Below are 20791 nucleotides of genomic sequence, written 5' to 3'. Positions count from 1 at the left end.
ATATAGATGAATATAAAGCTGTCTAAAACAGAGGCCACACCACATCATCTGTTTGCCTCAGCCTTCCCTCTGCAGGATGATCCTGTAAGATAAAGTGTGATGGCTTTTTTCTTTCCTCTCAGCGTCCACACCATTATCCCAAATAGAAATCTATATGAAACTCTCAAAGGATAGCTTGCTTCAGGTGGAGGAGTGATGTGGGATTCTGTTTCCAGGGAACTAGGGAAAGGAATAACACTGGTAGATGGTAGGCCTTAGAAGAAAGTCATGAGAAGGAGCAGAGAATTTCATTCCAGACATGATTAGGAATCAGAACCAGCGGGGTTCAGATACATCCCTGGGACTTAGCCTTCCATGGTTCTTACTCCTAACACAGAAAAGCTGTGCTTCTCAGACTTTCGTGTCCATACAGATCAGCTGGGGGATTTTGTTAAAATGCAGTTTTAATTCAGTAGGTCTGATCTAGTTTGAGATTTGCATTTCTAACAAGTTCCCTTTGCTTCTGGTCTAAGGATCACCCTTTAAGTAACAAGACTCTTAACTATCCATCATTATGTAAAAAGAAGCAGGATAAGAAGATACTTAAAGTTAGGCCTACTAAATTTTTCAAGTTGATTTGTAGGTAATACAGACATCCCCTTTTCAAGTCATTCTCCTTCTGCTCCAGTTCCCCACTTCCCCTTCTCTCATGTCTGAAAGGTTGGCAGCCGTTTCATCAGTCCTCTCTGCTATAAATGAATCCAAGTTATCCTGGAATGAGGTCGCATTTTCCAAAAGCATGTTTCTAGTCTATGGTGAAGGGGGAGGGTCTACTTGAACAGTTGAGGCTTGGGAAGCATATTCTTTGTAAAACACAGCAGTGTCTGAGTAGAGTGTGGATCTGAGGACTTTCCCTAGGCAAAGGAAGTGGGGAGGCCCAGAGCAGCTGCGTGTGCTTTTCTAATCCAGCTCCTTGGATTTATAGAAATAGACCGCTGGCATGTTTAAGGCATCCCAGTTAACTGCAGCTGAGAAAAAGTCTCCATCATTTCTGACTGAGCTATCCAGCCTCACACCAAAGTCTCTGTCATTTCTATGGACCCCCAGAAGCTTAATCGTAGTTTGACTGGTGATGAATGGATTAATCCAGATTATCATCACGACTTCTTGAAATTACGTTCCCTGTAGATTTGGCTTTTCAGAAAGAGTCCACCTATCAAACATTCTGAATGCAATGAAAATATTTAAAGGTTTCCCAGAATTCATTTGAGAACAATCTAATTTAAAACTGCATATTTTTCCATGAATGTTTAGTGAGCCCTTGCTATGTGGACCCTGTGTTGAGTACTCGGGAATATAGCGGTGAACCAAATGAAGGCAGTAACTGCCCTCATGACCGTAGGGAACTGCCTGTGGTCTCTATCAGGGGGACAGCTTCTTAACAAGCTGTATTAGCTTGGGCTGCCAGGACAAAGACCACAGTCTGGATGACTTGAACAACAGACATTTATTTTTTCACAGTTCTAGAAGTTAAAAGTCCGGGATCAAGGTTCCAGGTGGTTTAGTTTCTGGTGAGGCTGTCTTCCTGGCTTAAAGATGGCCATCTTCTCACTACGTCCTTCACATGGACTTTCCATGTGAGAGGCAGAGAGAGAGAGCTTTCTGGTGTCTCTTCCTATAAGGATACTACTAATCTTATCATGTCATAGCCCCATCCTAAAAGACCCCACCCTAATGACCTCATTTAACGTGAAGTACTTCCTTAGTATCCCCTATCTCCAAATACAGCCACGCTGAAGTTAGAGCTTCAATATATGAATTTTGGGTGGACACGAACAGTCCATAGTACAAGTAAACACACAAGTAAATCCCAATTACAAAGCATAGTACATCCCAAGAAGGAAAAAGAGGCTCTTTTTAGAGCTACATTCCATGGAATTGTTATAGAAAGCTTACTTTTATTATCCACTAAAAATATAAATCAGAAGAGCCAGGAGTGTAAAATTGAGAATGATATTGTATTCTGTATTCTTTCTTGGAACGCTGAATCTATTTTGTTTGTACTTGCCTCAAGGCCCACATAATAATCTTTGACTTCCTTCAAGAGAATATGATCGTTTTGTAAAATGTAACTATGGCCATTGCCTGACTCTTGAAATGTAATTACATTTCTAAGTACTTCACTTTTTGGTATTCAGCGAAATGAGAGAAAGGAGAAAAAAAAAAAAAGCACTCTGTATAGAGTTTCATTCCCAATTTTTTTTTTCACATTTTGTTTAATATCTAAAGATTCTTGTTATAATGAATTTAAATCTTTTTTGTTATGGTGATTCTTTTTTAAGTAAAGGGGTAAAATTGAGAATGCACTGATGTGAATTTCAGTCTTTCAAACTGAAGTTTTAGAAATTAAATATAATGTCACTTTTTGGCAGAAGAAAATTAATGTGGGAAATTTTTAGAAGTTTTATCCAAACGAACACAAACTTGGCTAAGTACTGAGGAGACTGCTGAATGTAAGACCCTATGTTACGCACAGCTTGTAGTTATTCCCGATTGTAAGATGCACTATTAAAAGTTGTTTGTGGACAACAGGGGTCAGTGGTCTCCTTAACATCTGATGCCCATGTTACACTTTCCTGTTTCTATTGGGGAAGACGGGGGAGTCTCCTGTTCGAGAGAGGCCTGTCCCTCAGAGAACAAGAAAGATGTGCATCCCACTTTAACTGCTGAAGGAAGGAAAAGGAATTGGGAGGCCTAATGAACATGGAATTTGACTTTCACAATGTATTTCTCATGGATAGATTCTTGGAGAATGGTGTCTGTTTGGGGGCATTTAAGAGGGATATTGAAAGAGAAGAGCTGTTACAGATGGAGAACAAGATGGAGGGGGGCATACAATTCTGTAATGTGAAGAAGAGGCGGGTAGTAAGCTTAGTTCCCTTAGTTTCTACTCATAATACTGAATGAAGTGAGGTGAGGGGATGGGGGCAGTGCCTGAGTCTTTTCATATGCCTGATGCCCAGGTAGCTGAAATCCATGAAGGGATACAAGGTGTGGATGAATGGGTGAAAAATTCAGAATCTTAGAAATTGTACAACGTGAGAACAATCTTTAAAGCAGTTAGGACTCTCCATAGATAAATGAGCTGCCTGGAGTAGTGGAGGGAGTGATACTGGCATCTCTGTAGAGGTCCAATCAAAGCTTCATGACTGAGCAAAGGTATTTTACATGACTGAAAAAAAAATAAAGATCCTAGTGTCAAACAGCTGAACTACAGGCCCAGTAGTATCTCTCCCAATGTTGATATTCTATGATCTTTTTTTTTTCTCTCTACCACATTCCAAAGATATGACAAGGCTGGATGTCACTACTGACGTCGGCTCTCAGATCAGTCTGTGTCGTGGCTGATGGCTTCACCAGATCCTCAGAGACCAGGCTAGTTGCCCTGCAAATTATTCAAGATTCAATTTTCTCAGACTATGAACTTCCTTTGAATACCATAGTTATATAAGGCAGAATCTTTCATTTCCTAAACTGATTAATGATGATAAATAAGGCATTTAGAAAATAAACTATAGGTGGGGGTGGAGGGTTCTGATTAGGCATTATTTCAGTAACCTCACTGTTCCAGTAGTGGTCTTGGAGTATAATGCAGCATAGTGGCTAAGAACATTAGAATACAGTGCAGATAAAGCCCCTGCATATATGGCCAGCTGATTTTCTACTAATGTATGAAGGAAGTTCAATGGAGAAAGAATATTTTTTTCAGTAAATGGTGATGGAAACATTGATATAAAAAAACCTCAATAGATTGTAGACCTATGTGTAGAAGCTACAGTTTTGAAATTTGTTTAAGAAAACAGGGAAATCTTAGTAACTCTGGATTTGAAAAATACGTCTTGATTAGAAAATAAAATACATAAACTATAAGAGAAATAGATCAACAAATTGGGCCCCATAAAAATTAAAAGTGGTTGTTCTTCAAAAGACACTTTTGGCTGGGCCCAGTGGCTCATTCCTGTAATCCCAGCACTTTGGGAGGCCGAGGCGCGTGGATCACCTGAGGTCAGGACTTAGAGACCACCCTGGCCAACATGGTGAAACCCTGTCTCTACTAAGAATACAAAAATTAGCCGGGCATGGTGGCGGGTACCTGTAATCCCAGCTACTAAGGAGGCTGAGGCAGGAGAATCGCTTGAACCCAGGAGACAGAGGTTACAGTGAGCCGAGATTGTGCCATTGCACTCCAGACTGGGGCCTGGGTGACAAGAGTGGAACTCCATCTCAAAAAAAAAAAAAAAAACCACTTTATTTAAAAATAAAAATAAAAAGGCAGTCATAGACTGAGAGAAAATATTTGAAAAATATATACCTAACAAAAGACATGTGTCTAGAATATATAAAGAATTCTTAAAATTCAATAAGAAAATCCAATTTTACAATCAAAAATATTTGAATAGACACTTCACCAAATATGATATGTGGATAACAAATAAATACATTAAAAATGCTCAACATCATTAGAGAAGTTAAAGACTTGTATCTGAATGTTTTTAGAAAATTTATTTGTGATAGCTAAAAATTGGAAACAAGCGGCCCTCAACAAATATATAACAAAACAAATTGTGATATTGTCCTAGAATGGAATACTACTCGGCTATTCAAAGGAGTCAGCTGTTGATATGTGCCACAACATGATTGAATCCTAAAATAGTTCTTCTGAGTGAAAGAAGCTAGATAAAAAGATTTGCTGTATTTTTCTTTTCATATAAAGTTTTATAAAAATTTAAACTAACCTATAGAAATGAAAGCAGATCAACGGTTGCCTCAGTATGGACTAAGGAAGAAAGATGAATTTGAAAGTGGCACACGGAAACTTTTAGGGAGAGTGGATATATTCATTGTCTTGATCGCTGTGTGGATTCATGGGGGAATGCATATGCCAAAATTCATCAAATTATATTCTTTTACATGTACGGTTTACTGATCATCAATTAAACTCACTAAAGACAGATAGATAGATATGTATGTGTATATACACACATGCATATATATATATATATACACACACACACATTTATATGTATATATACTTATATACACATAAACACACAGCAATATGTTCTTAGACACGGTAATAACCTTTCTATCTTCGATTTACATTTGTATAAATTGGGGATATAATATTACTTACTTCATGGAGAACAGTGCTAAGCATGGAGAAAGATCTCAATCAATGTGAGCTAAAACTATTACTCTGTAGTATAGTTCACTTCTTTTAAAACATATTTTAAAAGAAGTTTGTTTTAAAAGAAATATGCTTTAAAAGAAGTGTCTATGTCCTTTGCAGGGACATGGATGAAACTGGAAGCTATCATTCTCAGCAAACTAATACAGGAACAGAAAACCAAACACTGCATGTTCTCACTCATAAGTGGGAGCTGAAAAATTAGAACATATGGACCCAGGGAGGGTAACATCACACACCGGGGCTTGTCGGGGGGTGAGGGGCAAGAGGAAGGGAGAGCATTAGGACAAATACTTAATGCATGCGGGACTTAGAACCTGAATGACAGGTTGATAGGTGTAGCAAACCACCACGGCACATGTATACCTATGTAACAATCCTGCACGTTCTGCACGTGTATCCCAGAACTTAAAGTAAAATTTATTTTAAAAATGATTTGTTTATTCTATTTCTCCACTTTTTTCTTTGTTTTTGAGGATATTCGTTACCAGGAAAGATATTGTGTTTCCTCAAGGACTATTTTGTGGTATGTAGTTTTTAGAAGGTCTGACTCCTGGGCAAGTGTGAATAGAACAGATGGGTGAAGAAGCCTTTCAAATGGCATTCCCAGGCCTGAGAGGGGAAGTCCTTGTGCTTAGAAATTTTCCATCCTCCTCCACAGCTGAAATGCCTCCCTTGGCTGAAATGCCTCCCTCAGCATTTTTGTTTTGAACGCCCTTTCTTGGGGGATCCTAACCCAGCTGCAAGAATTCACTGTGGGCTGAAACCTGGCAGATTAGATCTTGGAGAGGGAAAGTGATTTGAAAGTAATGTTTGTTCTTAAAAATGACAAACAAGTATTGCAGGTTTCTGTTATTTTTTGTGTTCCAATTAAATTGTTGAGGATTTTGAAGATCAGTTACAAGACCTTTGAATTTGCCAAATGGCAGGTTTCCTTTGCTCCTTTTAATTTTTAAAAGAAAATAAGCTGTAACTTGTAAAAATTGGCTCTTCTTTAAGCAAGGACTTCTTATTACAGCTACTAAATGCCCAGGATTTATCTCTATATGCTTTTCAACTATGGCCTCTAGTATGAAAAGTTGAGCAAATTTTTACCTTTTCCGTATTAAATTGCATTGTTTGACCAAAGATTAAATGACATCTTAATGCCATAAAATTCTATGTCATTTTTTCCTATTTCCATTTTTTATAGAGAAAAAACAAATGTTATTTTGTATTGGTTGTTCATCATCCTGACAAAAGTAACTTTTTCTTCAGTTGCCTCTTCACTCTTTTCTCATCCAGAGTAACCTCCCAGCTATTAATAGCCTATTTCCTTTAAATCCTAACCTGTACCCGCATCAAATGGCATTAGCATTGTCCTGTTTCTGCATTATTGATTCTAACTTATCAAATTACATGATGATACAGTTATTGATGTCACAGGTGAACTAACAAGACCTGCACTACCTATAGCTATGACTGGTCTGCTTCAGTTCGCAGATTAGGAAATTGCTACAGATTAATATCCTAATTTCAGAAGGCATTTGACAGTATCTTTTATATTATGACTTCATGACCAGCTAGATAAATGTATTATCATTGGTATTGTGTAGGTTTGTGAAACAATTTACTTGGTATCAAGTAATGAATTGGTATTAAGCTGGAAGGAGGTCACTAGTATAGGTAGTAAGTTTCAGGCTAATACTCTTCATTCTTCTAATGTAATAGAATTTGCATGAAGCTGAGATATTATAACTTTATAAGAGAAGGTAACTGAGAAAAGATGACCAATTTTATTATAAAGCACAGTCTCTGTCATGAAGGACGAATAAAATCTAATGGACTTGTGTTTTCCTAATATTCCTCAAAAAACTCATATATACACAAACAAATGATCATACAGATATAGAACTGTAGAGAATTGACTTAGCCACAATATTTATGAGGACTCGAAAGTTTTAGTAAATTAATTGGAATCAATGATAAGACATGCCTTCCAGAAAAAAACAAAACCTGACATCTAAGTCTGCATCTATAGAAGCATAGATACTTCTAGAGATCTGAATTTCTGTAATCATTTTGAAGCCCCATGTCTTAAGACATTGACAAGTAGAGAGGATTAATTTGATGCATTCATTTAAGAACTAGAGCTGTGTCTTCCTGCAAAATGGAAGAGTTTGTGAATATGATTGTCGCTTTCAAATATCTAAAAAGCTATTGCAGGAAAAAGGAATTGCATTACTCTTCTTTTTGTTCTTCCAAAGTGCAAAATCAAGAGCAATAGTGGAAGTTATAGAGAGATAGATTATGGTTCAGCGTAAGAAAGAAATCCCGTTTGACTTAGATCTTTCGTAGGACAGAATGAACTCTTTTGGAAAGTAGCAATTTTGTTCACATGGGGAAAATTTAATCAGAGACTGGATGAACATTTTAGATTGATTTATATTAGCATTTTTCACTGCATGTCCTGCAAATTACCACCCTTGTAAGATATTTTGCAAGTTTCTGGGTCAACCAGCTTTGAGAGATATTACAGAGTATGTTGACCTCTTGAATATTTACAATGTGCATCAGCATATTAGAGACTCTGAAAGTTCCACAATAAAGAAAGCTGTTTAACTTTGTGTAACCCGGCATTTCCCAATTTATTTAAGCCCCTCAGTTTTTCACATGTCGTGGAACAAATATGCTTCAGAACTCACATTGGGAAATGCACTTAAAGGAGGTGAACCAGATAACTTTGATTCCGTGAAACTATTTTCTCCATATGTATTGACAGGTTATTTTATAAATTCACACACATACATCTGTGTGTTTGTGTTTGTGTGTATCTATGTAGCCGAGGGTGGGTTTTAAGTCTTATTTATAGATAGGTGACAATTTTGAAAGAGTTTTTATGAAGGCCAATAAATTAATAGCATGATGAATAAATACTCCTTTAAGAATCTCAACTGCCTCAAGAAAACTACAATTCTTAATTTTCCATAGAGATGTCATGAAAGCGAAATGTATTTGTCACATATCAACAACCACTCATCAACCTGAGAATAAGGCTAAAGCTCCAGAACTTTTTTTTCTTCTTTTTTTCCCTTTCCCTCCCCTGCCATTTAGGCGAAAAGCCAATTTCTTGAAAGTGGTACAGGAGGGGATGTGAGCAAATACAGCGTAATGATTGAGCTACAATTTAAGCATCTGGTTTTATTTATGTGCAAGCACCGTGCACAGAACTTAATTAATATGACTGAAAAAAAAAACCATGTGTCTATTGAAATGTTAGGTAGTGCCTCACATATGTGTGTTTCTCTTTCCTAAACACTCCCCGATCCTGATCTTTTTATCACACCTTCGAGATTCAGTTTTGTGCAAGATTTATGAACATGCAGTTTTTCTTCCTCTTCTGACTTTCTATTTTTCTTTCCCTGTAGTTTTATATCTAGAAAACTACTACTTTGGCAAGGGTTGAGGACTGAGTCACGGACGTGCCCTTACTCACGTCTTCTGTGATTTGAAGGCAGAATCTGAAGCAAATTCCAACACAGCTGTGAGAGGCAGCCCGTTTTTGTTCTTAAAATGCTAACTACACACATTTGCAAACCTGCAAAGCTATTTTTCTCCTTCCTTTGGAAGGTGTTAAGGCTAAAAGGACATGTAGACAGGAGACAGCAAGGAGAGTCCCTTTCCTGTCTCTGTTATAGAACTTCTATTTATTTTTAGTGTTTATTTTTTCACTTGTGAATGACATGATACTGACCTGGAAGAAACATTGCTTCTGGGATATGTAGCTGATCTCCTGCTACTGTCCCTATAGTCCACCGAAAAGTTAAAAGGCTTCAATTCTGATCATCTTCTCCAGGAGAATTTTTATAGCCAGTGATGTCAAGCTTACATTTTAACTTTGTTTTCATTTGTTTGTTTTTTAATATACTTGGTTATTAATGTCATAGTTCATCAATAGCCTACCAGGTACAAAAATCATCTAGTAAAATAAAGCAAAATCTATGGTAGTTATATTATTTTCAAAACTATTTTTTGGCATTCTCATTGTGTTGCCCAGTCTGGAGTGCAGTGGTGTGATCTCGGCTCTCTGCAACCTCCACCTCCCGGGTTCAAGCGATTCTCATGCCTCAGCCTTCCAAGTAGTTGGGATTATAGGCACCTGCCACCATGCCCAGATAACTTTTGTATTTTTTAGTAGAGATGGGGTTTCACCATGTTGGCCAGGCTGGTCTCGAACTCCTGACCTCAAGTGATCTGCCCACCTCAGCCTCCCAAAGTGCTGGGATTACAGGTGTCAACCACCACACCCGGCTCAAACCATGTTTAAGTTAGCAGAAGCCATTTTTAAAATAAAATCTCTTGAATCATTGTAATTTTTTTAAAAAGAGAGAAGAAAAAATAATAAATGAAGATAGTTGTGTTGGTGAAACTGCTCCTCTTCTGTATTCAACAGTCCTTGAGGGACCTCTAAAGTACCTCCAGAAGTCATTGTGACAGCCACTTCTCTCAAATGCAAGAAATCAGAAGAAAGACCTGTATACATAAAAAAAGGATAAAACAAGGGTAAAGCATTTCTTTGTGTTGAGAACTTTCCAAATCTTACCTTCTAGCTATTTTGCAATAGATTATAAATTATTGTTAACTGTAGTCTCCCTACTGTGCTATTCCATACTGTAACTTATTCCTTCTATCTAACTGTATTTTTATACCCATTAACCAATGCCTCTTCATTCTCACCTCTCCCACTACCCTTTCCAGCCTCTGGTAGCCATCAGAGACTACTTACTACCTCTATGAGATCAATTTTTTAGCACCTGTATATGAGTGAGAACATGCAATATTTGTCTTTCTGAGCCTGGCTTATTTACCTTAACATACTGTCCTCCAGTTCCATCCATGTTGCTGCAAATGTTTCTTCACAGGAAACATGGTGTATATATACACACGAGAATATTATTCAGCCATAAAAAAGAATACAACCCTGTCATTTGCAGGAACTCTTATGTTTAGATATCTGTACTTTCATGTTCATTGATGGACACTTAGGTTGATTTCACAGCTTAGCTATTGTGAATACTCCTACAATAAACATGAGAGTACAGATACCTCTTTAATACACTAGTTTCCTTTCCCTTGGATATATACTCAGCAGTGCGGTTGCTAGATCTTATGGTAATTCTACTTTTAGTTTTTTGAGGACTCTCCATACTGTTTCCATATTGGTTTCCATAGTGGCTGCACTGATTTGTATCTCTACCAACATCATTGTCAGGTCACCATTTGCTATATGAAGTCTTTTGGATTATAGCCATTTTAACTGGGGTGAGATGATATCTCACTGTGGTTTTGATTTGCATTTCTCTGATGATTGGTGATGTTGAGCACCTTTTCATTTACTTGTTGGTCATTTGTATGTCTTCTTTTAAGAAATGTCTATTCCGATCTTTTGCCCATTTTTAGATCAGATTATTTGTTTTTTTGTTTTGTTTTGTTTGCTATTGAGTTTCTTATATATTCTAGTTATTAATTCCTCATTAGATAAATAGTTTGCAAATATTTCTCCCATTCTGTAGGTTATCTCTTTGCTTTGTTGATTGTTTCCTTTGCTGTACAGAAGCTTTTTAGCTTAATATAATTCTATTTGTCAATTTTTGTTTTGGTTACCTGAGCTTTTGAGGTCTTCTACAATACCAATTAGAGTGGCTTAATAGGGTAAATTACCCTAAAATAAATTAAATTAAATTAAAAATAAATTACCATAAATTTCTTTAATTTACATTAATATTGGGCATTTAGTTAGTTTAATTCTCTGTGGTTCAATTACAAATTTTATAGAGAAATCCATTTGCATCAATTTTGAGTTTATATCTGATTGTTTCTTAAATCTATATCTGATTGTGAGATTATAGTGTTGAAATGTTTAGTTTTAATGTTACTGGCTACTATGACAAGCTATTCTGGCAATAGCATCCACAGCTACAGTGGCCCACACATCCAAAATGGATGAGGGCTCTCTAACTCTGCTCCTCTCTTCATCATCATCTACCATTACTTCATTTGGCCAGAACAATGGAATTTGGCAGCATTATACCTGAGTAGACTGTTCTTCCTTTCATCTTCCACGTAATTGAAACCATATTGTATGGGTCACAGAAATAAAGGGATTATGTCGATCTTACCCCTTTGGTGTTTGGCATGAGTTATCTTTAAGACGTTTATTCAAAATAAGTGTGATATCTTGTGTAAGTCAGGATTCAACCAGAAAAAATAGAACCAGATAGATCACAAGAGATGTACTGCAAGGAAACGGCATACACGATTGTGGAGGCTGGCTTGGCAAGTCTGAAATCCTTAGGGCAGGCACCAGGAAGGGCAGGTTTGAACTCTTTTTTTTTTTTTTTTTTGAGATGGAGTCTTGCTCTGTCGCCCAGGCGGGAGTGCAGTGGTGCGATCTCAGCTCACTGCAAGCTCTGCCTCCCGGGTTCACGCCATTCTCCTGCCTCAGCCTCCTGAGTAGCTGGGACCACAGGCGCCCGCCACCACGGCTGGCTAATTTTTGTATTTTTATTTTTAGAGACGGGGTTTCACCATGTTAGCCAGGATGGTCTCGATCTCCTGACCTCGTGATCTGCCCACCTTGGCCTCCTAAAGTGCTGGGATTACAGGTGTGAGCCACCGTGCCCGGCCTAGGTTTGAACTCTTAACCATGAGCTGAGGCTTCTGTCTACAGGAGGAATTTCTTTTTTTTTTCAGGAAAGACGAAATTATCTTCCTAAGGTGTTTCAATTCTATTCTTAAGGGCTTTCAACTGATTGAATCAGGCCCACCAGGATTATCTAAAATACTCTGTCTTACTTAAAGTCAACTCATTATGGACTTTACTCATATTTACAAAAATACCTCCAAAGAAACACTTATATTGGTGTTTGGGGACTGTAGTCTAGTTAAGTTGACACATCACAGCTCTGTAGCTGGTTCTTGTTCTGCCTCTCTCTCTATGTCTCTCTCTCTTTCTGTCATACTTAGAACTAGGATATATGAAGGATTTGGTTGGGGGGAAGGAAAAATGAATAAAAGGCAGCAAACAGGAATGCAGAATAATGGGAAGAAGAAAATTTGAATTTTTTTCAGATGTCTCTTCTTACAGCAAGAGCCCTATTTATTCTTGCTAAGGGAAAAGAATGTTTAGAGATCTTAGCTGCCACGAAGCTTATATCTAAGTGTACCACACAATTGCATTAATTTTCTCATCATTGCAAAATAAATCCAAGCTTTTCACATTGGCCTACAATGGCTTAGATGATCTGGGCCTTGCCTGCTTGTTAAGCCTTCCCTAATTTTATTAGGTCCTATAAAATCCAGCATGTTTTTCTTTTCCTCAGAGATGCCAAAGGTCTTCCTCAAAGAGCCTTTGCACTTGCTTTTCTCTTTGCCTTAAAGATCTTCCTCAACGTATTTTCTCTCCTGGGCATTTTATTGAGTTCTTAGCTCAATTGTTATTAAATACTTACTCAGAGGCCTTTCTGGCTACCTTAGCTAAAGGAGTCTCCTCCTCCCCAAATTACTGTATCCTACCATCCAATTTCAATTTTTAGTGAGAAGTTGTATCTATATTAATCTTAGCGATTTCACACGTTTTTCTGGTTACTGCATGTCTTCACTTTATTCATGTTATTGAGAACAGAGACCCTTTTTCTTCCCTCCGCTAAATCATAGTGACAATAGCCTTACCTGACATTTAGACGAGGTTTACCTCATACTCGTGGAATAAATAGAGGCATCGCAATTCACTTTCCAAGTACAATCAATCACTCCTCCATATGTGATAGTTTTTGTCCTAGCTTGTACCATTGTATTTTCTGGCTACATATATTGTTATTGTAAGTTACCTTACACTATTATTTTTGGAAGTTGTTAGTGTATAGTGTATGATAAGTGCATGCTTTTGCAGAATTAATGAAGTGTCCCTGGTGAGGATTCTCATGCTCCAGTCCTGAGTGGAACAGCATATATCAATGTCGAGAATTCTTACTGGGGACCACAAGCGAGGCAGATGTCAGAACTGTTTTCTGTGTGCACTGCATTCTAGCGAGAGGTGTGGCAGCTGCAAAGGATTGAGAGCCCAGAGAATGTGCCTTGGCTAAAAGTTTCTGTATTACTCCACCACTCTGATTTCTCTGTACTGTAAAATGTCTCCCATTTGGCATCTGGCTCATCTGAAACTAATGTGTCATGTGTTAGGATTATGCAGAGTGGTGAGAAGGCAATGAGCATCTGGGAAACAACGTGTGCTCCTGACAAGTGCTCAAGTATTAGCTAATGATTTTCAAAATATCCTGGGAATGGAGTTGGACACCTATTCATTCTCTTACTTGTGCTTTTGTTTTGTTTTTATTTTAAAGAAACACTTATTTGACCCTGCATTTATTTTAAGAGGTGTGCAATATGCTAACTAAAAATGAAGTAAAATATAACAATCTCTCTTTCATTTTATACTTCTTTGTAAAGTGTTTATGACTACCTTGGAAGTTCAGGAAAGCAATACAGTTCTGTTGTTTTGTTTTGACATCTCCCTGGAATTCATCCAAATAACACTATAAAACTCCTATTTCAGTAATAAAAGCATGATTTTAAGGCAGATTTGCTAGAAAAATGCTCCTGAGGTGCATTGTCAGAGTCTGCTGCCCTGAGAATCTTCCATCTGACTCTGGGAGACACAGCTGTGAACTTGTGGAACATGTTGGCTCAAGGTTCATAATTCCTACTCTCATTATTGTTTCTAATTATGATATATAAACACTTGATTGATATCAACAACAGTATAAAGTCTGGATAGTGGTAACTACGGAAGGTGAGGGATGTGTTAGTTTGAGTGTAGTGATCATTTTATTATATGTATATTTCAAAACATCAAATTGCACACATTAACTATATACAATTCCTGTTTACCAGTTATACCTCAATAAAGTGAGAGGGGATAAAGATCAATAGGAAATTCTTGTGTAGTGAAATTGTGGCAAGTTCTCACGGGTGACCTGCACTCTGCTGTTCTTTCTTCCACCTGTGTAAAGTACAAGTTTAAAGAGAATAAGAAGAAGCTGAGAGTTGCGAATTACCCATAGGAAGTCAGCACTCTTTCCACTCATCACTCTGCAGCCTCATCATCTCCATTCATCAGTAGGCTCCACATGGCTTCCTGGAGGTTAGCAACTCTGGTTCCTTAATTTTGATTTGTTGCTTTGGCGCTTAAAGGATGACAACTGCCTGAATTTTCATGAAGGTACATAATAAGCCTTATATGAGATCTTACTATAATTAGGAATATGATAAATGTATATGATGTTCCATCTGAGCATGTGCACATGAACACACACACAGACGCTTCTATTATTTTGTGATAATTATAATATAAAAGTGATTTTGAAATTGTTTCATTTCTTACATTTTCAAACACTTTCCTATACTTACTCTCTCACAACCCTTTGCTAATAGGCCATGTATGGTACTCTGTTCTGCTACTGGAAATTAGTTTAGGAAGAAAAATTAACGACCATTTCTAGTGATTACATTTCAAATGAAAAAAATCTGCCTTCATTTTCAGCGTTAAAATTGACTAGCCTTTGTTTCTAGTCTGGCTTTCTACCAAAGCATTATTTTATGAGTGAAAAAAAATGTTAAGGGCTCAACAGTTTTCTCCAAAATGTGGAACTCTGGGGATAAATTTTCACTGCCTTCTCCTGACTCTTGTTTCTAAGAACAGTCAGTATGCTGGAATCCCACTTACCCCTAAAAGGGAATAGTAACTATGCCAATGTAAAATAGGAACCATTCCTTTGAATTCAGGTCAAAAGGTTTACTGTAGGGACTGGAAATGATGCAAAGTAGAACATACTGTACTTTTATTCATAAGGTTGTTCCGAAGGAAGATTCTACATTAATTTTGAAAATCTTTTATTACAAATATACTAACATCTTATATTGCTATACAGCTTTAGAGTTTGCAGTATATTCTGACATACTTTGATATATTCCACAATATGCCTGTGAGATAGATGGCCAGATTCTACATACACACACACACACACACACACACACACAAAATCTTACAAGACAATGAAGTTCTTAGGATATCCTGACACCAAGGACACACAGAGTAAACAAGTAAAAATTTTTGGAACCGTGTCCTCAGATTCCTAATACCATATACTTTCTGCTGTCAGTTTCATAGTTACTTGCCACAAACTTTGTGGACTGGATAAGTTAAACAAAAAACATCAAATATGGCAATAACCCTCAGTCCCTAATAGAGTTCAGAATCTCAACTTCCTATTCATGTCTATTAGGTTAGTTACACATCAGAAGATCCTAGTCAGGATAGGTCTTAACCAAAATAAATAATTTTCTTCCACCCCTCCCTCTACTCCTCCACCATTGCATTCAGACGATAGAAGCCAGTTTTAGAGTTTAAAGCCACTAATTACCAAAAGCCATTGGTTTAGGCACTTACAGACTTTAATCATTAAGAATAAAGAATTGCCCCGTGGGGAATGTGTTTTCCATGCATATGCTGTTCTAAACTGAAAACAAACTAGGTAAGAAAAATAAACAAACTGGGTAAGTGATTACTTTCTTTTTACTTTCTTCATATGCTTTTTTGTATGTTAAAATTTTTTTTAAGTTGAACTTCCCATGACCATGAATTTTTAAGTTCTGTTCACAGCATTGTTTTTCACTTAAAAATTAAAAATTGCCTTTGTGTAAAAAATTAAAAATTTAAAAAGCAGAGTGTCTCTTTCCTGGTACTTGAGAACATAAAAAACCATATAAAAGTAATAGGGAGAAATTAGCTAATTCAGGTTTTAACATGTTAATAGAGGGGCAACAATGACTAGACCAGCTGTGCTATTGACCTAGGTCTTTGAGGCCTTTCAGGTTGCAAAGTAGCTATTATTCTCCTTAAGCATTTGCAGGTCAGGCATGGAAACTTTTAAGCAGGCTCTGACTGAAGTACTAGTTTGCATTCTGTAATTGCAGTAAGCAGAGCCAGCTGTGAACCTCTCGGGATTTCCCCTTATTGGACTAAGAATTTAAACATTTTGCTGAGTAGGCGGTAAAGTTTTCTTCTCTTCACTGCCACCCTCCTTTAAAAAATATACTCTTAATATGCTAAAAAGAAACAGGGTATGAAAATAAAAAATGAAGAACTTATGTAAACACAAATTTTAGTGCTTTTTTTTTTTTTTTTTTTTTTTAAGACAGGTTATCACTTTGTTGTTGCCCAGGCTGGAGTGCAATGGCACAATCTTGGCTTACTGCAGCCTTAACCTCCTAGGCTCAAATGATCCTCCTACCTCAATCTCCCAAGTAGCTGGGGCTACAGGTGTGCACCACCATGCCCAGCTTATATATATATATATAGTATATATATATATATAGAGAGAGAGAGTGTGTGTGTGTGTGTGTGTGTGTGTGTGTGTGTGTGTGTGTGTATATATATATATATATAGTAGAGCCATGGTTTTGCCATGTTGCCCAGGCTGATCTTTAACTCCTGAGTTCAAGTGATCTGCCTGCCTCAGCTTCCCAAAGTGCTGTGTTTACAGGTGTGCACCACCATACCAGACCTTTAGTGCCTTCTTGAAGGTCACACACGCCAACATATGGAAATTAACTGGTACTATGTGTACTAGCTTTGTAGTAGCTGATACATCATAATCATAAATTAAATATTTGTTGAATGGATTGCATGCTAATCAGCTCATTTTTTGCATAGAGTTCATAACAGAAATGTATCCAATGTATCTGCTATTCCAATAACTTTCCACAGGCAATGATGCAGTTTGTCTTAAGTCAGGGATACTTTGTGTGAAACCAAGAAATCAGAAGATGTAAATGACTTAAGGCAATATTATCACCATTCCTGGAAAAACACTACTGTCTATGTTTGTGATAGCAAACATAAAAGCATTACCTTCCTTAGGTGATGAATATGAACATTTTTAGTCGTATATCTGGTGCCCTTAGATGACCAGTCAGATCAGATTCCATGTCTTTATGAAAAGATGGTGTTCTCGTGTCTTGACTCTGATGGAACAAGCTGCTTTTCCAAAGTTATTCTGCAGGTGGTGGATTCAGTAACCATTAGTTGGCATTCTCCCTTACAAGCCTCAGGTAATCCTGTGTGCACACCAGGTTTATGGACCGAATGAGTACCACAATGGTTTATAGACCCAATAAAAACTGTTTAAATATCTGGTGGTGCTTTACAAATATCTTCATCCCAGGTTTTTCAAATCTCCCCTGGAATCTATGCAGCCAAATGTGCAGTTGTTCTGTAACTGATGGTCGCCTGGATATCATTTGATAAAAGTGTAAGACGGGTTTTTTGTGTGTGTGTGATGCCAATTACTGAGGACTTGAAGATACGCATCTTGAATTATTACATATAAAAAGATTAAAAGGCTAAATATCTATTTAAGAAATATCTAATGCAACTATAGTCACTGCTCTCACTTCTCCATATTCCTGTGAGTTTTTGTTCTGTTCCTTATTCTTAGAGTGTAAAGTGAATCATTTTAGGAATGAATATCATAGAAAGTAAATACAGGGAACAGAAAGCTTAATGCATTCATTATTCATTCCTTTCCATCAATACTCTGAACACCTACAGAGTGTTCTAGGCTCACTGGGGAAACAAGAATCAATAAATCTCATTTTCTCCCCTTACTGACCTCATGATCAGTAGAAAATCAACCCGAATAATCTCATACTGATTCCTCCTTCCTGTGAGTCCTCATGCGTTCTGGAAACCTTTGGAGGGATTTATCATAGTCCATATTACTTAAGAGTTTGTGGGCATTTCTTTTATGCTCCTTGGTAGATGTTGAATGCCTGGAAGGCAAAGACTTTGTTTTCCCTATCTTTATATCCCTGGTTCCCTGTGTAGTGGTTACTCCATGCTATGGGCTTAACACATGTTTTTAAATAAAAGGTTCAACGGTTTTGCAATTAACAATATATAAGACTCTTAGCTAGTAATTTTGTATCTTTGGGGCCTGTTTTCTCATCTGTGAAGATAACACATGCTATATTTCATGAAGTTATCATATCAGAATTAGATGCATTAAATTTTGCAAACTGAGAAGCAAAGCATTATACCAAGGTACAGACTTATTAAAATTGAATATGTGCTTTCATTTAAACATGAGTTGCCATTTAACTATGGCTGGTAGTTGCGTTTGGGGGATTCTGTTACTATTAGTGGAGGACTCAACAATCATATGCTCCATAAAATTGTCCTTCCTTACAGTGCTCAATTCTTTTTTATTTTTTTTTTTGAGATGGAGTTTCGCTTTTGTTGTCCAGGCTAGAGTGCAATGGTGTGATCTCGGCTCACCGCAACCTCTGCCTCCTGGGTTCAAGCAATTCTCCTGCCTCAACCTCCCAAGTAGCTGGGATTACAGGCATATGCCACCTCGCCCGGCTAATTTTGTATTTTTAGTAGAGACAGGGTTTCTCCATGTTGGTCAGGCTGGTCTTGAACTCGCGACCTCAGGTGATCCGCCCGCCTTGGCTTCCCAAAGTGCTGGGATTACAAGCGTGAACCACCGCACCTGGCCACAGTCCTCAATTCTTAAACATAGAGTTAAAGAGTAGGATTTCATGAAGCATACTAACTGCAGTTTATTCTTTAAAACTTTTAACCTCTGCCTTGTCCATAAATGTGAATTATTGTGGCATATGGTTTCATTCAGTGTATGATAAATATTGTATGTCCTTTAGGAAGGAAACTATAAGGTATATTTCTGGCTTGTCTTGGGGATGAAATAAATGGCCTCTGCAGTCATTTCCACCTCTGGCTTCAGTGATTAATGCATCCTAGGGGACCAACTTTCTTTTAGCTATAATGCCAGCTTCTATCCTTATTTCATCCCTGGAGCTTTAGGCAGAAAGGGAACTAAAAAGTCATCAGCTTTTATTTTATGTGACTTTTTTCTACTCCTGTTTGGGTTTCACTTTTTTTTTTTTTTTTTTTTTTTTCATTCTGCAGTTAGTTCTTCTTGTTGAATATCTAGGTTTTTATCTAGGAGGACACCTGGGGTGATTGAGATAATGCAGGGGTGTATCTGGTGTTTGGAGGAAGACTGTATGCTCAGGAGGCTGAGAGGCCACAGCACTTCTAGTGCCAAAAGTTCTGTTTATCTCATCATGTTACTCACTCATAGTCTCCAGGAAGCTTGCAGCCAATCAGGTTTCCTTGTTTGTGACAGTTTTTTTTTTTTTTTTTTTTTTAAACCTAGTCTTGCTCTGTGCCCCAGGCTGGAGTGCAGTGGCGCAATCTCGGCTCGCGACAGGTCTTGACTTGCAGTGTGTTAGGCACAGTAGATAAGCATTTTGTGAAACAGTATGAATGGAAATCAAAAGCAATTTGATCTAATTTTCTCTTAGATTTAGTTATATCTCAATACCAACTTCTAATTCAGTTTTATTTTTGCTGATTTTCTAAAAAGATAGTTTTCATCACCAGTGTGAATTAGCTTGTCATTAGATCTTGGAGATCTTTGAGATCAGTGGAGAAGTTTCAACTTAGGCAGGAGAGTGGCTTTGTACAAAAATAAATGTTGGTGATGGCTTATCGATATTGTTATTTGAGCCCATGTGTGATGCTTTCATTGCAATAGAAATATTCTGTTGTCTCATTTTAAAGAAACTATTATTTTGCTTAACAAATATTGAGTGTCTGCAATATGTGACATAAAGGAGGCGCAAGAAATGTTTTAGACACAATAGCCATAGTTAAATTGCTTATAAATTGACTTTATTAAAATGTCTTACCATATAATCATTAACATTCATATCTCAAATAAGTGTCAGTAATTTAAAATGACCTTTAAAGTCATGCTGATCAGTAATTGTAAAAAGAAAACAGAGAGTCATGCTAATAAGGTGAATAGATGTGACAGATTGACGTGTTGACATCAAGGGACAAGAATTGATTCAGGTAACTAAGTCAAACTATTTGCTAAAATCTGAGCCACGGTATCTTATTTTCTTCTGCAGACTCTATCCAGAGCAATGATTCTTCCCTAGGGTCCATATTTTTCCTGAAGCTTAGGGATCTATGAAGCACATAAAATTGTGTAGATGTGATCATCTTTCTGGGGAGAAATCTAGAGCTTATACTAGATTCTAAAAGTAATGATCCAGTAATGTTAAGAATCATTAATATAGATTTTTACTTATAATTTGCTTCTCCTTTTAGGGAAGGCAGTGTCAGAATTCTAGAATTAAGTTGAAAAGGTATAAATTATACACCTTAATGCTCTCCTTTCCAGCTATATGATCTCAAGTTATCCAACCACAATGTTTTTTTAATATATGAAATGGGCAGATAATCCCTTCACTCCTAAGTGTCAAATGAGATGAGCTATATGATTGGCCAGAATAAACTATAAAATATTTGCAGACATAAACATTATTACTATTGTTTGGGCTTCTGCATGTGCCAATCCATGATACTATTTTGTTGTTGTTGTTAATTGAAAATTTTATTCTATTACCAAGTAAATATATATATATATTTTT

The 20791-nt window shown here is 37.1% G+C and overlaps 1 protein-coding gene across 2 annotated transcripts in view, besides 2 other annotated features; it reads left to right on the top strand.

Annotated features, from left to right (window-relative positions):
- P3H2 (prolyl 3-hydroxylase 2) overlaps window positions 1–20791 on the top strand; it is a 165551-nt gene that overhangs the window by 64546 nt on the left and 80214 nt on the right. The gene's annotated exons all lie outside the window — the stretch shown is intronic.
- Window positions 5505–5554: a silencer, noted in NCBI's record as "silent region_14998". NCBI's record gives its function as "represses an Ori minimal core promoter by ATAC-STARR-seq in GM12878 lymphoblastoid cells {active_cell/tissue: GM12878}" and the evidence as "EXISTENCE:reporter gene assay evidence [ECO:0000049][PMID:35858748]".
- Window positions 15832–16514: an enhancer, noted in NCBI's record as "OCT4-NANOG-H3K27ac hESC enhancer chr3:189759008-189759690 (GRCh37/hg19 assembly coordinates)". NCBI's record gives its function as "activates a minimal SCP1, AML or CMV promoter by ChIP-STARR-seq in naive H9 embryonic stem cells {active_cell/tissue: H9 hESC(naive)}" and the evidence as "EXISTENCE:reporter gene assay evidence [ECO:0000049][PMID:30033119]".

The sequence above is a fragment of the Homo sapiens genome, chromosome 3 (assembly GCF_000001405.40).
Source record: "Homo sapiens chromosome 3, GRCh38.p14 Primary Assembly".
Lineage (NCBI taxonomy): Eukaryota > Metazoa > Chordata > Mammalia > Primates > Hominidae > Homo > Homo sapiens.
The sequence above is the reverse complement of the archived record's forward strand: the minus strand, read 5'-3'. Positions and strand labels throughout refer to the sequence as shown.